This window comes from Homo sapiens, chromosome 8 (assembly GCF_000001405.40).
Source record: "Homo sapiens chromosome 8, GRCh38.p14 Primary Assembly".
Lineage (NCBI taxonomy): Eukaryota > Metazoa > Chordata > Mammalia > Primates > Hominidae > Homo > Homo sapiens.
In genome coordinates, this window is record NC_000008.11 from 23104365 (window position 1) to 23123397 (window position 19033).

The following is a 19033-nucleotide window of genomic DNA, read 5'->3' on the forward strand; positions in this document are numbered from 1 at the left end:
CTTTTAAACAAGGGTATTGTATTTTACTGCATGGGTAAGCCACATTTTAATTCACTGTTGCCGCCTAGGGGCAGCTGGTTAGATCCCATCCTGACGGCCTTTGCTAATTCCAACAGCATTGTACTAAATACCCTTGTATGTATCGTGTGTCCACATATCCATGCACACCAGCTTATTGGGCAACTCCTTACAAGTTGAATTCTACTTCTCCTTCTGTGGGATAAATGACTTCAGAAGTTTCTTTAAATGTTCACGAATTTTCCTCCAAAAAACCACTGAACCCAGCTTACAGTCACACCTAGTCCACAAATGTGCCTGTGTCCCTACACCTTTGCTACACTTAGCTTTCATTCTTTACTAGTCTAAGATGTAAAACATAACACATCACATTGCTATGTATTTTTGTTTCCTCATGGTATTAGGAATTTTCAAGGATATAGGAGTTTTTTGGTACTGGGAGTAGACCAGGGTATCCAGATGAGACAGCAGGGAAGACTGAATTCTGAGCTGTGCACTTGGAAAACCCTGGTCAGTTGGGGCCAGTCCCTGCCACCCACCATGCCTGTGAATGGAGATAAGGTCTCCATCCTCAGCCTGTCAGGGTGACTTCAGATGAGCCTGGAGCTGAGTTCAGTTCCTGACCCCAGGTCCTGGCTCTGTCAATGCTGGGCTGGTCCAATCTGTGCGCCAGGTCCTTCCACACCATTCCTCTCTCTATCAAAGTAGGAATTGAGAAGTTCCAACGGCTCAGAATCTCGGACTCTCAGGCTGTCAAGGACTCCTGAGATTGAAGGTTGTGAATGGCTGGGCCCTGCCGTGCTCCCCCTCTGGCTCTGTGACTCTGGTGTGGCCCCAGCTCCTGCCTGTAAAGTGAAGAGGAGGTAAAAATCTTCAGCAGCCCTGTGTAAACCTCAGAGGGCTGTGTTACCAGGTGTGGGAGGACAAATCACATCCTCAGGGCTGGTGTCACTCACTCTGGACTGGATCCCCAGGCACCTGTCCTCCATCCAGCAGAGGCTGCCCCTGTTCCTACCTGCACCCTGGTACTTGCTCCCTGAGCTTGGGGCAGAAGCTTCTGAAGACTAGGGTGGAGCACCACGGGGAGGGGCCATGGAGGAACAGAGGAGCCAGACGTCAAGTGAGGACAGCGATGGCACTGCAGGGCCACAGCCTGGTTTACCTGCCATGCTTCCAGTTGTCCTTCTGGTAGGCGCCTGGCCCGGGTTGTAGTTTGAAGAGTGAGCAGGAAATGTCTCCATCCAGGTGGCTGCAGATGGCTACTCACCCAGGCTGTACTGAGAGGCCACAGTCCCAGTTCTGGTCCTCTGTCGTGTATCCAGGAGTGGCAGGGCAGTGAGGCTCTAGCTTCTAGGTCAGGGATGGGGACAGTGGGGACAGTGCCATGCCCCGAGCCTCTGCCGTTGGGCAGCTGGTATCCTGCTTCCAGCCAGAGAATGCACATCTTCATGTAGTGGATTTCCTAACAACCCGGGGAGATGAAGGTAGGTTGTTTTTCCTGTTTTACAAGTGGTAAAATGAGATTCAGGGCTAGAGTTCTCTGAGCAGCTGCTTCTCTGATCTCTGTCCTGCCCTTGGCCTCTGGGAGCTCTTATGGTTCCTCAGCAGAGTTCACAGGGCTCTTGGAGCCTGTCCTTCGGCCTTGAGCTGAGGCCACAACTGCGCGCACTTCATAGGCTTGAGGGGAAAGTGATTCATCCAGGAAGTAAACAGTGAGCCCTTTACTCTGAGAACACCTGTGCCTGGAGTCCGCCGGAGTTTGGGAGGACAAATGAACCCCATGTGAATCCTGTTCCCTGGAGCCCGCAGTGTGGTGGGAGAGGTGACCCAGGGATTATATAACTAATAGGAGGTAGCATGAAGGAGGCCTGAGATCTCACTACCCTTGCCTCCCCCTCCTCCAGAGAGGCTGTGCTGGAGAGAGGCCATGCTGTTGCAGGGCCATAGGATGTGGTACTGTTGGCCTGGAAGATGTGGTTTGATTACAGTCACCATTGAGGGTCAGGGAGGGGAGCGAAGCTCTCCTTTAGATGCCCCCCCACCCGATTTTTTTTTTTTTTTTTTTAGCTGGGCCTGAGAATTTGATTCACCTAAGAGAGGTCCACAGGAGACAAGCACACACATTTATTTAATTCAAGTTTTACCTGGCATGGAAGAACCTGTGAGAGTCAGTTACTTATTTACTGAATTAGACCAAGTAACTCATGAAGAAGCAAGTAACTATGTGAGGAGCTAAAAAGATGAGAGTGGATCCATTCTAACATGGTCTGCACAGTACCCTCTTGGCCTCGACTTCTCATCCTTAAAAATAAGGAAATTGTCAGCTGGGTGCGGTGGCTCACGCCTGTAATCCCAGCACTTCGGGAGGTCAAGGCAGGTGGATCACGAGGTCAGGAGATCGAGACCATCCTGGCTAACACAGTGAAACCCCGTCTCTACTGAAAATACAAAACAATTAGCGGAGTGTGGTGGCGGGTGCCTGTAGTCCCAGCTACTGGAGAGGCTGAGGCAGGAGAATGGTGAGAACCTGGGAAGCAGAGCTTTCAGAAAAAAAAAAAAAGGAGATTGTCCTATGTTTCCCTGGGGACTTTCATCTCCTGCTTTTAGGAAACACAAAAGAGGTCAAAGGATCTTCTTGCACCTGTTGTTTTTCAATAGCCTTTAATTCATAATAGTCAATTGACCAGGGTGGGCAGGGTGCGATGGCTCACACCTGTAGTCCTGCCAAGACAGGCAGATCACTTGAGCCCAGGAGTTCAAGACCAGCCAGGGCAACATAGCAAAACCCGGTCACAACAACAACAACAAAAAACCAAACAAACAGAAAAACAGAAAAACACAGAAAATTATGTCGTGTGAAGGAATCCACACAGAATGCTTACCATCTGATTCCATTTCTCATTAAAATTCGACCAATCTATTCTGACAAAAAGCAGAATTATTGCTGGGGACATAGGAGCAAAGCGGAAGAGAGGATTACATTGAAGAATGAAGAAATTCTGGGGTGTGGTGGACATGTCATTTTCTTATCGTGGTGGTAGTTCCACAATGTATACACACGTCTCAATCTACCAAACTACATGCTTCAAAAATGTACACTTTGTTTCATGCCCATTATACCTCAATGAATCCATTTTTAAAAAACCTTCAATAGAATGTAAACACTTGAGTGTATACTGTATTCCCTATAGCACTTGCACATAGATCATGGAAATAGGTATGCATAAAAAGTCAGTTTATCCAATTAAAATGGAATTCTAAAAGGTAATTAACATTAAAATGTGCAGGGGGAAAAGGAGTAAAAAAATTAGACTAGACAATCATAGCTTAAATGGTAAACTTACAGGTCTATTTCAACTATATCAATTATTGCACTCCCTGTAAATCCACTGAGCACTACAGTTCAATGGTAGAAATGTTTGGAAGGGCTGAGAAAGCAAGACTCAACTATATCTTGTCTATATGAGATGGGCCTTAAAAGGAAGACACAGATGTTGTCTGTTGAAAGTAAATAGATGGAAAAAGATACACCATGCAGAGTGTAAGGCCAAGAAAACTGCCATGGCTATCTCAGTATCAGATGAAGTTGATTTTGTTAGCGGTGGATGAGATCCGAGTTACCCTACGTTGAAGGCGGCGAATCCGTATGCGTCCACAGCACCTTCAGCTCTTCGCCTCCTGAGAAGAAAGAACTGGTTTGAGGGGCATAAGGCAGAAGCAGAGATGGAGGCAAGTTTCAGAGCAGGAGTGAAAGTTTATTAAAAAGCTTTAGAACAGGAAGGAAAGGAAGGAACAGGAAGGAAAGGAAGGAACAGAAAGAAAAGAAGGAAAGTACACTTGGAAGATGGCCAAGCAGGTGACTTGAGAAACAGTACGCAGCCGGACCGCCTGAGTTGGGGTTTTATAGGTTGGCCTACTTCCAGGATCTTGCCTTACTTCTCCCCACTCCTGAAATCTTATTGGGAAGCTGCTGATCAGTTTCAAGTGTTTTCTATGTATTAGGAAACTGCTTTTTTCTGGCATCGGCTGTAACCAGTTATTACTTTAGAGACACAGTTATCAACTACCTGATGGTCGCCCAACACTGCTGGTGTCAGAAGCGGGGACCCCTCTCCTGTCCTGCTCATACCTAACTAGCTGCCTACTGTGACAATTTTAGGACATTGAATATTATGGGAGATGAAAAGGGACCTTTGTAGTTAAAAGGGTTAATTCTTCAAGGAGTATAATAACAACAAATTGTATATGCCTAGTAATACATCTTCAAAACACATGACACAAAAATAGAATTAAAAAGAGATTAACTCAGCTGTTTCTCTGCACTTGCTAGCATGATTAGATGAAAATGCCAGTAAAGTGGCAAGCGATCTGCACACTATCAACCACCTTGATTTAACTGACATTTAAAGAGCAGGAGTGGAACATTCACTGAACACTCATTCCTTTCTATGCTCATGATACTTTCACCAAGATAGACCAGGTTCTGGGCTATAAAACACACAATATGATCTCTAAACTTAATGAAACTAAACTGGAAATCAGTAACAATATCCACAGAGAATTCTAAAATTTTGATATTGAACAACACACTTCTAAAAATCTGTGGTTCAGACAGGAAATCAAAAGGGAAGGTAAGATATTTCAAAGTAAGTAATAATGACAATATAACACATCAAAAGTGGTGCGAAATAGCTAACAGTGCTCAGGGTGAAATATACAGCTTTCAATGTTTGTATTAAAAAACTGGGGGTTAGGGAGATGGGGAGTTACTGCTGAAGGGTATGTAGTTCCTTTCTGGAGTGATAAAAATATTCTAAAATTGATTATAGTGATGATTGCATAGCTATGAGTATATTAAAAACTGCTGAAGTGTGGACTTTAAATGGGTGAATTATATGAATAATCATAATTATTAATTATGTGAATTGTGTCTCACTAAAGCTGTCAAAAAAAGAAAAAACGTGAAAATTATGGGCCGGGCACGGTGGCTCACATCTGTAATTCCAGCACTTTGGGAGGCCGAGGAGGGTGGATCACGAGGTCAGAAAATCGAGACCATCCTGGCTAACACGGTGAAACCCTGTCTCTACTAAAAATACAAAAAATTAGCCAGGCGTGGTGGCGGGCACCTGTAGTCCCAGTTACTTGGGAGGCTGAGGCAGGAGAATAGCATGAACCTGGGAGGTGGAGCTTGCAGTGAGCCGAGATTGTGCCACTGCACTCCGGCCTGGGAGACAGCGAGACTCCATCTCAAAAAAAAAAAAGAAAAAGAAAAAGAAAATTATGGCCTGAGGAGCTACATTAATCAATCATAAAATATAAGTGTAAATTTAAACCAAACAAAGTAACAGGAAGGAGCATAAATCAAAGAATACAAACCACAGAAAGAACTGAGAAAACCAACTGTGTGCGGTGGCTTACGCCTGTAATCCCAGTACTTTGGGAGGCCCAGGCAGGCAGATCACTTGAGCTCAGGAGTTAAACCACTCTGGGCAACATGGCGAAACCCCAGCTCTACAAAATATGTGAAAATTAGATGGGCGTTGTGGCACACACCTGTCTTTGGGGACTGAGGTGGCAGGACCACTTGAGCCTGGGAGGCAGAGGAGGCAAAGGTTGTAGTGAACCGAGATTACACCACTGCACTCTGCGCTCCAACATGGAGGACAGAGGGAGACCCTGTCTCCAAAAAAAAAAAAAAAAAAAAAAAAAAGACAAAATGAAAAGTTGGTCTTCTGAAAGGATTTTAAAAAACACTAATAAACCCCTCATTAAATGAGAGGGAGTAAGAGTGTGAGAGCAGAGAAAGGAGACGCAGACATCGCCTGAACCTAGAGGGACTCCAACCCGGGAAAGAATGATTTGGGAAAAGTGGGTTAGCTTCACTGTCACCAACTGCTAGTCAGGCTTTGATGTGGAAGAAAGCTACATTTTGTCTTGTTTAGATCCAGGCAGTTGAACTGAGCCCAACATAAGCAGCTTTCATTGTAACCATTTTGGTTTTGCTTAAATTAATTTCCTACTTTAAAACACTCCCAACTTAAAGAAAAGTTACAAAAACTATACAATAAAAACATTTGAAAAAATGGCTGTTGGCATGATGAAAGCTATTATTGAATTCTTTAGTGTGTACTTTCTACAAACAAGGAAATTAACATCAACACATTACCACTATCTATCCGCACTCTATTCCGATTTCTCCAGTTGTCTTCTAGTTGTCATTTATAACATAGAGATCATGGCCAGAATCCCTGAATTGCTGTTTCATCTTTTTTGTCACTCTTTGATATTTAGTGGGAGCAGCTTGACAAGGTCCTTTGTAAAGCAGTAATTAATTACTTAATGTTTGATGCTATATCCTGACTTTCTGTAAGGTTATATATATTATAACCTTCATTTGTAAAGCTGAGTATGTTTAAGTGTGTGTCTGTGTGTATTTGTGTGTGTGTGAGTGAGAGACAGAATTCACCTATTGGTCAATTAAACACTTGGTGAAACTAAATATATTAAATGCTATTTCTGCATGAAGGGCTCATATGTGTGTGGTTTTTTAAAATTCTTATAAAATCTTTTCTTTCCAACCATGGTGGCATGTGCCTCTTATCCACATTTCTTGGGAGACTGAAGCAGGAGGATCACTTCAGGCCAGGAGTTCAAGCCTATAGTAAGATATGATCACACCTGTGAATAGCCACTGCATTCCAGCCTGGGCAACATAGCAAGACTCTGTATCAAAAAAACAAAATAGCTCTTCTTGCTCCCATTATCTGGGGTAAATTTATGTTATAATATGAGAAAAGGATACATAAGTGTTTTTCTTTTTCTTTTCATTTTTTCTTTTTTTTTTTTATTTGAGATGGAGTCTCGCACTGTCACCACATTGGAGTGCAATGGCGCGATCTTGGCTCACTGCAACCTCTGCCTCTCAGGTTCAAGCTATTCTCCTGCCTCAGCCTCCTGAGTAGCTGGGATTACAGGTGTGTGCCACCACACCCAGCTAATTTTTGTATTTTTAGTAGAGACAGGGTTTCACCGTGTTGGCCAGGATGGTCTCGATCTCTTGACCTTGTGATCCACCTGCCTCAGACTTCCACATTGCTGGGATTACAAGCTTGAGCCATCGCGCTTGCCTGTATTTTTTTTTTTTTTTATAGAAAATAGCTGGCCCTAACAGGCCAAGGGACAAACACAGGTATGAAAGAATGAAAGTTTGGAGCTGGAAAAAATGTCCAAGCTCTGATGGGTTTTGTCACTTGGGGTGAAGGGAATGTGAGATGGAGCCTGGGAGGGGTGAGGTCTGGAAGTCACTCACACCCATCACTCCTTTGTCCCCACAGGTCCTAGCTTACTCTGCCACCACTGCCCGGCAGGAGGAAGTTCCCCAGCAGACAGTGGCCCCACAGCAACAGAGGCACAGCTTCAAGGGGGAGGAGTGTCCAGCAGGTGCACTCTTATTTTTAAAAATCAGTTTATTTTTAATTGACAGATAAACATTGTATGTATTTATGATGTACACCATGATGTTTTGAAATATGTACGCATTGTGGAATGGCTAAATCAAGCTAATTCACATACTTAATCATGTATTCGTGGTAAGAACACTTAAAAATCTGCTCAGCAATTTTCAGCTGTATGGATACAGAGCCCTGGGATAAGCCCTCTTTGCCCTTTTTATCTGTGGGTTCTGTAGCCTTCCTTATCTATGGGTTCTGTATCCATGGTTGCAACAAACCACAGATCAAAAATATGCGGAAGAAATAAAAATGATAATACATCAATAAAAGCAGATAAAAAGCAATGCAGTATAGCACTTATTTACATAGCATGTCTATTGCATTAGGTATTACAAGTAATCTAGAGATGATTTAAAGCATATGTGCGTGGGTTTTATGCAATACTATCCCAATTTATATCAGGGACTTGAGTATATGCAGAGTTTGTTCCATGGAATATATTCCCTGTGGATAGAAGGCAGGACTGTACAACACATTGTTTTAATAACTGTAGTCGCCATGTCACACAATACATCTCTTGAATTTATTCTCCCTGTCTAACTGAAATTTTGTATCCTTTGACTAACATCTCCCCATCCCACCATCCAACTCAAGCCCTGGTAATCACCATTCTGCTCTCCACCTCTATGAGACCAACTTTTTCTGATTCCACATATGTGAGATCATGAGGTGTTTGCCTTTCTGTGCCTGGCTTATTTCACTTAGCATAGTATCCTCCAGCTTCATCCATGCTGACACAAATGACAGAACTCCCTTCTTTTTAAAGGCTGAATAGTATTCCATTGTATCTATGTGTCACATTTTCTTTAACTTTTCATCCATCCATGGACACGTAGGTTGATTCCATGTCTTGACCATTGTAAATAATGCTCCAATGCATATGGGAGGGAAGATATCTCTTCAATATACTGACGTCATTTCCTTTGGATGTATACCCAATAGTGGGATTGCTAGATCATATAGTTGTTCTATTTTTTGTTTTTTGAGGAACCTCCATACTGTTTTCCATAATGGCTGTACTAATTTCCATTCCCACCAACAGTGTACCAGCATTCCTTTTTCTCCCCATCATCAACACTTGTTACCTTTTGTCTTTTTGGTAATAGCCATTCTTACAGGTGTGAAGTGATATTTGGCACTTGATGGTTAGTGATGCTGAGCATTTTTTTCATATACTTTTTGGCCACTTCTATGTCTCCTTTTGAGAAGTGTCTATTCAGGTCCCACGCCCATGTATCCATTTTACTTGGATTATTTGATTGTGTGCTATTGAGATGTTTGAGTTCCTGTGTATTTTGGATTTTAACCAAAATCTTGGATCTTTTGAATATTGACCCTCATTCTGTAGGTTGTCTCTTCACTCTGTTCATTGTTTCCTTTGTCATGCAGAACCTTTTTAGTGTAATGTAACCTCATTTGTCTGTTTTTCCTTTTGTTGCCTGTGCTTTTGGGGTCATAGTCAAGAAACCATTGCCCAGACCAACATCATGAAAATTTTCCCCTATGTATTCTTGTGGTAGTTTTACCATTTCAGATCTTATGTTTTAATCTTTAGTCCATTTTGAATTAATTTTTACATATGATGTGAGATAAAGGTCTTATTTCATTCTTCTGCATGTCAATACCTACTTTTCTCAACACCATTTATTGAAGAGCTGTCCTTTCCCCATTTTGTGTTCTTGGTATCTTTCTCACAATCAATCAACTGTAAATGCATTGATTTATACCTGGGTTCACTATTTTGTTCCATCAGTTTATTTACCATTGTTGTGCCATTACCATTCAGTTTTGATTACTATACTTTTGTAACACGTTTTAAAATCAGGTAGTACGATGCCTCCATCTTTGTTCTTTTGTTTGTTTTGCTTAAGATCACTTTGGCTATTTGAGGTCTTTTGTAGTTCCATACAAATCTGGGCGTGGTGGTGCGTCGCCTATAATCCCAGCTACTCGGGAGGCTGAGGCAGAAAAATCGCTTGAACCAGGGAGTTGGAGGTTGCAGTGAGCCGAGATTGTGCCACTGCACTCCAGCCAGGTGACAGAGCAAGACTCTGTCTCAAAAAAAAAAAAAAAGACACATGAATATACATAACAGTCAGGATGTCCTGATGGGAACCATGAAGAATAGTTAAGTGACAGGAGATAGACAAGGTTGGTGGGGCCTCTCGGGGATGGTGATTTGGGCTGATATTTAAAGTTGGACAGGGCCAGTCTTGCAGAGAGCCAGGAAGAGTGCTCTTGAGAAGGCCCTGAAGGAATGAGAACCCCAGGTTTCGGGGGCTTGGGGAGACTGAGCGAAGACAGGGGGCCACTGTGGTGAGTGGACAGCAAACAGGTCAGGTGGACCAGCATGGGCAGATCACATGTACAGTAGGTTGGATGTTATTTTGTGAGTGACGGCGTAAAAAAAGTAAAATATCTCAATGATGTGTATTGATTACATGTTGAAATGTAGTATTTCAGATATTTTAGGTTAAAACTATATTGTTAAAATTAATTTGGCCTCATTCTTTTTACTATTTTAATATGGCTCTCATAGAATTTGAATTTTGCATAGAATTTGAATTTTGTATTATATTTCTGTCAGCAGTGCCAGTCAAAGGTATGTAATAGATGCTGAATGGATGACAAGACCAAGCCTGGAAGAGTGGATTTCTCTGTCTCAATTCCAGTGAGGGCCAAAAAAGAAGTTTCCCCACCACTGTCAGCCTCTGGGAATTCTGTGGTGACTCATTCATTGGCTTTTCTCTTCCTTCCCAGGATCTCATAGATCAGAACATACTGGAGCCTGTAACCCGTGCACAGAGGGTGTGGATTACACCAACGCTTCCAACAATGAACCTTCTTGCTTCCCATGTACAGTTTGTAAATCAGGTACAGAATGTGTGGACCTCTTGTCCAGAGGTGGAGCGTGGGGCAATGAGGTGGGAGTTGTAGCCGATATGAGTCAGGGAACCAAGTTCCAGCCCAACCTGGTCTTCATCACCCTGTTCTATGATTATATATTTGACTGATTAAAAAAATAGAAAGAAATCTTTTCTATAATGCATGCCACCTGGCTGGGAAATCGTCTAAACTGTCAGCTGCAAGAGGGTGGGGGGATCATTAGAGCATAGAGAAGGCCTGGCCCAGTGGACAGGGCTAGGTTTCAGTAGTGGCACGGGTCTGCTCCAGGGCCAGGCTCTCTCCCCCAGGCTCTGTGCTCCTGGCAGGTGCTCGGCCTCACTCAGCCTTCAGGTTCTCAGGCCCCTTCCTCCTCCCCAGCAGGCCCAGGCTTTGGGGAAGTCCCCCAAGGCCTCCGTCTCCTTGCAGAGTCTCTCAGGTGATGCCCTTGCACCTCCCTTGCTACTGACCATGCCATCTAAACAATGCTTTTCCCCTAATCTGATGTAATAAATAATGAATTATGCTCCTTTTTATGACTCCTCTGAGTGCTGGTGACAGCTGAAGGGTGGGTGTCCTGTATGAGCCCTGAGTGTGCTGGTGCAGAAACTGGCCCTTAGAACTCCTTGGTGAACTTGGTTGAGCTGAGTGGGAGGGGGTGGGTGGTAAGGAAGATCGAGGGATACATCAGGGAAACACATTCCCAAAACCTTATGCTCTGTTGTCAGATCAAAAACATAAAAGTTCCTGCACCATGACCAGAGACACAGTGTGTCAGTGTAAAGAAGGCACCTTCCGGAATGAAAACTCCCCAGAGATGTGCCGGAAGTGTAGCAGGTGAGACAGCAGTCAGGGGCTCCTGACAGCTTTCAGGAACCCGAGAAGACCTGAGTCACCTGGTACCCCTATTTCTCCGCTGACCCTATGGAGCCTCCAGACCCATGGGGTGTCCCTGAGCCTGTGGGGTCTCTTGGGTCTGCAGTGGCCGCTCCTGGTCCATCTGCCTGTCCCCACCCCTACCCCCTGCAGCAGCCCCTTCCCAGACCCTCCCCAGCACGAGTCCCCTTGGCCAGACCAACTTGTTCACTGGGCACAAGAAGCAACTTTCTGGATCCCTTGATCCTTTTCAGCAAACCTAGGAAATGCGATTTCCTTTTGAAATGAGAAGAAAACACTTGAATCCAGTCTGGGTTGTATTTGTTGCTATACCAAGCTGTTTTAAAAAATGTTCTTTTTAATATTTTTTATGCAGGCAGGACCCATAAAGACAAAAGTGGTCACGGCCGACAAAAGTCATAAGAAGGCTGTGGGTGGAGCTCCTTCAAGTTCCCATGAAGGCCTGAGCCAATCCAGCCGGCCTCACCCCTGGCCCCAATCCCTCAATAAGTCCTGTCTTTTCCCTATTTGGGCTTTAAGGGCCAAGAGTAATTTGTTCTTCTCTGGCCCCCTAATGTTTGCCGTGATAGGGAGGAACCAGCAGACAGTTGGGGGTGAGAGATCACTTGTACTGTGGGTTGACTGGAGGAAGGGGCTCAGCTTGTGGCCACAAGGGCTCGTGACCTTCCCCTGGAGTGTGGCTCCTCCTAACGCAGGCCTCCTCTGCAGCCCAGGGAAGCTCAGTGTGTGCCCGGCACAGAAGGCTCCTGTGGCCCCAGAGCAGGGAGGCTGAGGGGCTGAAATGCGCATGCTCAGACCCTTCCCCAGCCTCAACGAGGGAACTTGGGGGACCCCCTCCAGACAGGAGCCTGTCCTTCCCCTGACACCTTCTCAGGGACATTGGAGAGGGAGGGTGGCTCCCCTTTTATCCCACCTGGCTAGCTTTCCCTCAGGAGTCCTCACCTCCCTCTCTGTGTGTACCCAGGTGCCCTAGTGGGGAAGTCCAAGTCAGTAATTGTACGTCCTGGGATGATATCCAGTGTGTTGAAGAATTTGGTGCCAATGCCACTGTGGAAACCCCAGCTGCTGAAGAGACAATGAACACCAGCCCGGGGACTCCTGCCCCAGCTGCTGAAGAGACAATGAACACCAGCCCGGGGACTCCTGCCCCAGCTGCTGAAGAGACAATGACCACCAGCCCGGGGACTCCTGCCCCAGCTGCTGAAGAGACAATGACCACCAGCCCGGGGACTCCTGCCCCAGCTGCTGAAGAGACAATGATCACCAGCCCGGGGACTCCTGCCTCTTCTCATTACCTCTCATGCACCATCGTAGGGATCATAGTTCTAATTGTGCTTCTGATTGTGTTTGTTTGAAAGACTTCACTGTGGAAGAAATTCCTTCCTTACCTGAAAGGTTCAGGTAGGCGCTGGCTGAGGGCGGGGGGCGCTGGACACTCTCTGCCCTGCCTCCCTCTGCTGTGTTCCCACAGACAGAAACGCCTGCCCCTGCCCCAAGTCCTGGTGTCTCCAGCCTGGCTCTATCTTCCTCCTTGTGATCGTCCCATCCCCACATCCCGTGCACCCCCCAGGACCCTGGTCTCATCAGTCCCTCTCCTGGAGCTGGGGGTCCACACATCTCCCAGCCAAGTCCAAGAGGGCAGGGCCAGTTCCTCCCATCTTCAGGCCCAGCCAGGCAGGGGGCAGTCGGCTCCTCAACTGGGTGACAAGGGTGAGGATGAGAAGTGGTCACGGGATTTATTCAGCCTTGGTCAGAGCAGAACACAGAGATTTTCCGTGTGTTGGTTTTTACTCTAGTTCCCCTTCTCATCCCCCTTCCTCAGGGTGTCCCCTAATTGCAAGGCCCCATTCCTGTCCCCAGCCCCAGGGCTCCTTGTCCAGTGTCCCAGCCCCCAGCCCAGCCCTGTGCCCCACTGTCCTCTGGGAGGGAGGTGCTGCATGGGCCCCTCCCCACCTGCTAAGGAGACTCGTTCTCTTCCAAGTGGTGAAAGGGCCCCTGAGCGTGTAGACAGAGTGACTTGGTTTCTCCAGAAACTGGAAGCCTCATGGGCTGAGGAACTGCCTCCCACCCACAGCAGAGCCCTGGCGGACACAATCCCTTTTCCTCATGGCTGCCCTGACTCTCTGAAGTGGCTTGGGGTTCTGGGCTGACTGTGGGGGACACATGGCCATCTTGAGCATCACACAGACCGGCGGGTCCTGCTGCAGTCCTGTCCTTCCTGTAGTCTTCACTCCACAGCCTCACTCCACAGTGAGTGACCCTCACTGGACACCCTCACTCCACAGCCTGCAACCTGAGGATGGGGTGTCCGCCTGAGCACAGCATCGGGGGCCTGGCCCCAGCAGCGGGTCCTGGATGTGCTGAGATTGGGCTGCCTGGGTTGACCTCATTGGGAGGAGGTGGGGACGGCAGGTCCAGCTGCGTACTGGGGACCCTGCTGCAAGCCCTGGATGTGGACTCCTGAGTCAGTTCTTTGCCTTCCTGTGGTCTTTTTCCGGCACTCACATCGCCCACCAAGGCCTGGGTGGGTGAGAACAGTGCCCACAAGGAGACCCTGAGTAACAGAGACTCACAGCCCATCCAGGTCTCTGGGCAGGAAATTGAAGGAATCATCACATTTTACAGAGGAGGAGACTGCAGCTCAGAGTGGGGGAAGTGTGTGCACCAGGCCACAGGCAAGTCTGTCCAGAGCACTGGTAGGAATGAGGGAAACTAGGAATGACCACTTTAAAAAGTTAGATGAGAAGAATTTCAAGGCCGGGCGCGGTGGCTCACGCCTGTAATCCCAGCACTTTGGGAGGCGGAGATGGGCGGATCACGAGGTCAGAAGATTGAGACCATCCTGGCTAACACGGTGAAACCCCGTCTCTACTAAAAATACAAAAAATTAGCCGGGCGCGGTGGCGGACGCCTGTAGTCCCAGCTACTCGGGAGGCTGAGGCAGGAGAATGGCGTGAACCCGGGAGGCGGAGCTTGCAGTGAGCCGCGATCGCGCCACTGCACTCCAGCCTGGGGGACAGAGCGAGACTCCATCTCAAACAACACACACACACACAAAACAACCAAAAAAAGAAAGAAAGAAAGAATTTCAAAGTTAAGTCATTGGAGTTTGTTGGTAATATATTTGTATGGCTTAGGTCATGTTACGCGCATCACCCCCTCACCCCATGTCTGCTGTTGGGTCTCAGCACTGGGTGGAGGGAGGGGCAATAGTCCTGGTGAAGAGGAGGGGGGAGCGGCACCAGCTGGAGTGGGGCCTCTGCCGCTGCCTCTTCCTGCTGTGGTTTCTCCGGCTTAGACTGCCCCTCTCACCTGGCTTGTCTGTGGGGAGATCTTTGTTCTCTGGCTGCTTTTAAGACTTTCTCCTTAACAGTGGTTTCAGCAATTCGATTGAGGCAAAAAGGAGCTGCAGAAGCCATGTCTGTAGCATTTGTGGCCTCCCCTTCTGTATAATAGCAGCCATGTTTTGGCCTCTGCAGGGCTAAGGTCCTCTGAGCAGCTGCTTCTCCACATCTCTGCCATGCACTCGGCCTCGGAGCTCCTGGTGTTCCTCAGCAGAGTCCACAGGGCTCTTTGGGGTCCCCTCCCTGTGCTGTAGCCTGGAATCTGTGACCTGAGGCGGTGAGCTGAGGCCACCACTGGGCTCACCTCATGGGCTTGGAGGGAAAGTCACTCCCCCAGGAAGTAGGTGATGAGCCCTTTACTCTGAGAATGTCTGCGCCTGGTGGTGGTGGGAGGACAAATGAGCCCTGTGTCAGTCCTGCTCCCTGAAGCCCACAGTCTGGTGGAGGAGGTGTCACCAGGGACCTAAATAGCTATCAGGAAGCATGGGGGCCACCTCCCCGCTCCCTGCACCTCCAGAGAGACTGCCGGCTCCAGGAATGTCATCCCTCCCTACTTGACTCTGGCAGAGGGAGGCTGTGCCGTTGCAAGGCCCCAGGTCAAGATATTGGTGGCCTGGAGGATGTGATTTCATTAAAATCAACATTGAGGGGAATGATTGTACTAACAACAGCATGTGCTGAAATACAGTACTTGCGCGTGCCAAGCTCTGTTCTCAGCACTTTATACACATATGAACACACTTAATCCTCATACAACCAGACTGTACAGGAACCCTCATTGTCCTTGTCTTAGACAAGCAGCGTGAGACGCAGAACATTCGTTCAGTGGAGGGGCTGGGCACGGAGATGAGTGACCCTCAGGGGCAGCAGCAATGATTGGGTCACTGGGTTCTGCTGACCTTTCCCAGGGGAGTATTTGGTGCTTGTTCGTGAGGCCTGCATTCACCTAGCGCTGGGTCACAGCTGGGGGTCCCTGAGAAGTCATTTAAGGTCACCTCTTATTTCAGGAATGAAACATATTTAGATAAGAAGTGGCTTCCCCTGGACCGTGATGCTGGCCCAAGACTACAAGACAGATGGCTTGCTTCTTAATCCAAGGTTCTTCTTATACCAAAAGAACAAAGAAAGAAAAAAGCCACAAAAGACTCAAAAGAAGCAGATTTCCCACCACAGCACAACCTCAGAACAATTCTGAGTTGCTCATTTTAAGATCAACGAGGCATTTTTAGGGCATGTATGCCTGAGAGAGGAAATCAATGTGAACGGCAAACTTCCCTCTAAAACAGCCTAATACAACACTGGTCCAGGAGGAACAAGGCAAGGAAACCCCCTGGTGAATGACTCATCTCAGGAAGAGGCAGGGCAGGGTCAGGAGAGTCTATGGAGGAGAAGACCTGGAACAAGACCTCTCTCTCTTGCTCTCTTACACACACACACACACACACACACACACACACACACTCTCACACCCCTATGAGCCCAAATCTATGAATTGAGAACCTCATTCTCTGACCTCACCTTCCATCTCCCTCAATCAGAGATGCCCACAAACCTCAGAGCTGTGTCCCAGCATCACTTGTTTTGACTCCCGTCCCCAACTGCCTTGACTTCCTGTCTGCCTGGGAACCTGTCTGTGTGGACTTTTCCCTCTATGTCCACCAGTGTCCTGTCACCAGTGGCATTTGTCACCTCTGCCTGGGCAGCCCCACATGACTCTTTGCACCTTCATGGACTTTGGGGTTATTGATGTATGTGCCTCATCTCCCTGTGAACTGGAACTGTCCTAAGGAAAGGGAGGGTCGTGCCTTATTCCTGATACTCCACGATTCCTTGTATAGTGTGGCCACCAGGCACTGACATGCTCTCCTTGGATGAATGAGTACTGTGGGTTCTAGGAAGCCCGCATGAATGCAGATGTGATGTCCTCAGCCTTTCATAGACATGTTTCATGTGAGAGGTGGGAAGAGCAGCTGAACAGAAGGCTGAGGACTGCCCAGGTCCAGAGTCACCAAGAGCTTGTTGTCAGGTTTTCACTTGCTATTCGCAGAGATTTTTTTTAAAGGCACTATTTGTAGTGTTAAAAGGGTGAATTTATCAGAAGGCATAATAATCATAAATGTGTATATGCCTAATAATAGAACTTTAAAAGGCATGAAGCAACACTCAAAAGGATTAAAGGGAGATCATCTCACCCCCTTCTTACCAATTGATAGAATGATCTGATGAAAACAGTAAAATAACAACAGATCTGAACACTGTCAACCATCTTGACAAATACTTATGCCTAGTGTTCCATTATTGGAACACTAAACATGTGGAATGATTTATATCCTACTGCTCAAGGTCATCACCAAGGTCTAATTGTAAAATTTCAAAAAATTGCAACCTCAGGCATAAATGGGTTAATCGACATTTATAGCACACACATGCAACATGTACCAGAGATTCCTTCTTTTCTATGAACATGGTACTTCCACCAAGATAGACCACATTGTGAACTATAAAACAAATCTAAAAACATTTGAAATGAAGGAAATTATATAAAATATGTTCTCTGATCTCAATGAAATTAAATTAATAACTATATCTAGAAAAACTCCCAATATGTGAATATTAAGCAACATACTTATAAAAAATTCATAGTTCATGGATGAAATCAAAAGAGAATTCAAAATATTTCAAAATAAATTATGATGATTATATAAAATGTAGAAATGTGTGGGATGCCACTACACCAGTTCTTAGAGTGAAATGCACAGCTTTCAAGGCTTCTGTTAAAAGAGTTGGGAATTACAAAACAAGGAGCAGCGACTGCCAATGGGTGTGGAGTCTTTTTTGGGGTGATGATGAAAATGTTCAAAAATTGATTTTATTGATGGTTACACACGTCTATAAATATATTTAAACGGAAGAATTATATGATATATATGTGATATATGAAGTATATCTCTGTAAAATTCCTAAGGATTAAAAGAAGAATGGTATCACAATCAATGACTCAGAGGTCTGCATTACTCACCCATAACATAAGTGTAAATTAAACTCAGAGGCAGTAGCAGGAAGGGAAAGAAATAATAGAGTAGAAATTAATGAAATAGAATACAAAGAATAAAAGGAATCAACAAGCCAAGAGTTGGGTCTCAGAAATGATCAACACAATTAATAAAATTAATAAACCAAACCTCAAAAGAAAAAGAACAATGGCATGAAACACCAATATCAAGAATTAATGATGGGATATTATTACAAACTCTACAGCTATTACAAGGATAATAGTGGGATCTGATGAATAACTTTATGCGAAAAAAATTCAACAACTTAGGTGAAATAGAGAAATTTCTTGAAAAACCCTACTTAGCAAAATAGTCACAAGAGGTAAAGATCATTTAAATATTTCTACAGCTATCTAAGAATTGGAATTTATCATTTAAAAGCTTACAATGATGAGGCTGGGCGCGGCGGCTCACACCCATAATCCCAGCACTTTGGGAGGCGGAGGCAGGCAGATCACAGGGTCAGGAGATCGAGACCATCCTGGCTAACACGGTGAAATCCTGTCTCTACTAAAAATACAAAAAAATTAGCTAGGCATGGTGGTGGGCGCCTGTAGTCCCAGCTGCTGGGGAGGCTGTGGCAGGAGAATGGCGTGAATCTGGGAGGCGGAGCTTGCAGTGAGCCGAGGTCGCGCCACTGCATTCCAGCCTGGGCGACAGAGCCAGAGCGAGACTCCATCTCAAAAAAAAAAAAAAAAAGATCTACCTAGGGCCTTTCCCTCTCAGCCACACCTGACTTGAATCTGGTGGAAATCCTTTTCATCCTCCATCTTGTACATGGAAATGATGATAATGGTAATGCCACAGGTAGGAATTGAGGACTTTAGAAAGTTCAGAGTTGGCTCTGATATTGCAACTTCCTGATCTGTGACCTGACATGGATGACCACAGCCTGAGGACCTGCTGTCAGACATCTGTGTAAAGCAGTACAGCTCCATCCTCACAGTCAAAGGGAACTGTCAATGGACAGAGCCCAGAACCCCCTGCGGCACTGTGGGTGTGTTCCTTAGGAATGTGCAAACTGCCAATGGCTAAAGCCACAAAGGCAGAGATCACTTGAGGCCAGGAGTTCAAGACCAGCTTGGCCAACATGGTGAAACCCCGGCTTTACCAAAAATACAAAAATTATGCGGGCATGATGGCACACGTCTGTAATCCCAGCTACTCGGGTGGCTGAGGCAGGAGAATTGCTTAAGCCTGGGAGGCAGAAGTTGCAGTGAGCCAATGTCATGCTACTCCACTCCAGCCTGGGCAACAGAGTGAGACCCTGTCTCATCAAAAATATCTATATCACAGACTTAAGGGATCCAGCTTTTGTTGGGCT

General features: G+C 46.1%; 1 protein-coding gene across 1 annotated transcript in view, besides 2 other annotated features; it reads left to right on the plus strand.

Moving 5' to 3' along the window:
• The window catches only part of TNFRSF10C (TNF receptor superfamily member 10c), a 14525-nt gene extending 1444 nt beyond the window's left edge, over positions 1–13081 (plus strand). Inside the window, exons 2-5 of the mRNA NM_003841.5 lie at positions 7356–7461; positions 10293–10406; positions 11144–11252; positions 12277–13081. Coding sequence (NP_003832.3) covers positions 7356–7461; positions 10293–10406; positions 11144–11252; positions 12277–12667 — 720 coding nt within the window. The 3' untranslated portion in view covers positions 12668–13081. The remainder of the gene's footprint in view (positions 1–7355; positions 7462–10292; positions 10407–11143; positions 11253–12276) is intronic.
• Positions 14501–15001: an enhancer, noted in NCBI's record as "H3K4me1 hESC enhancer chr8:22976378-22976878 (GRCh37/hg19 assembly coordinates)". NCBI's record gives its function as "activates a minimal SCP1, AML or CMV promoter by ChIP-STARR-seq in primed H9 embryonic stem cells {active_cell/tissue: H9 hESC(primed)}" and the evidence as "EXISTENCE:reporter gene assay evidence [ECO:0000049][PMID:30033119]".
• Positions 15798–15998: a silencer, noted in NCBI's record as "peak6942 fragment used in MPRA reporter construct". NCBI's record gives its function as "represses an SCP1 promoter by STARR-seq MPRAs in K562 erythroleukemia cells {active_cell/tissue: K562}" and the evidence as "EXISTENCE:reporter gene assay evidence [ECO:0000049][PMID:32103011]".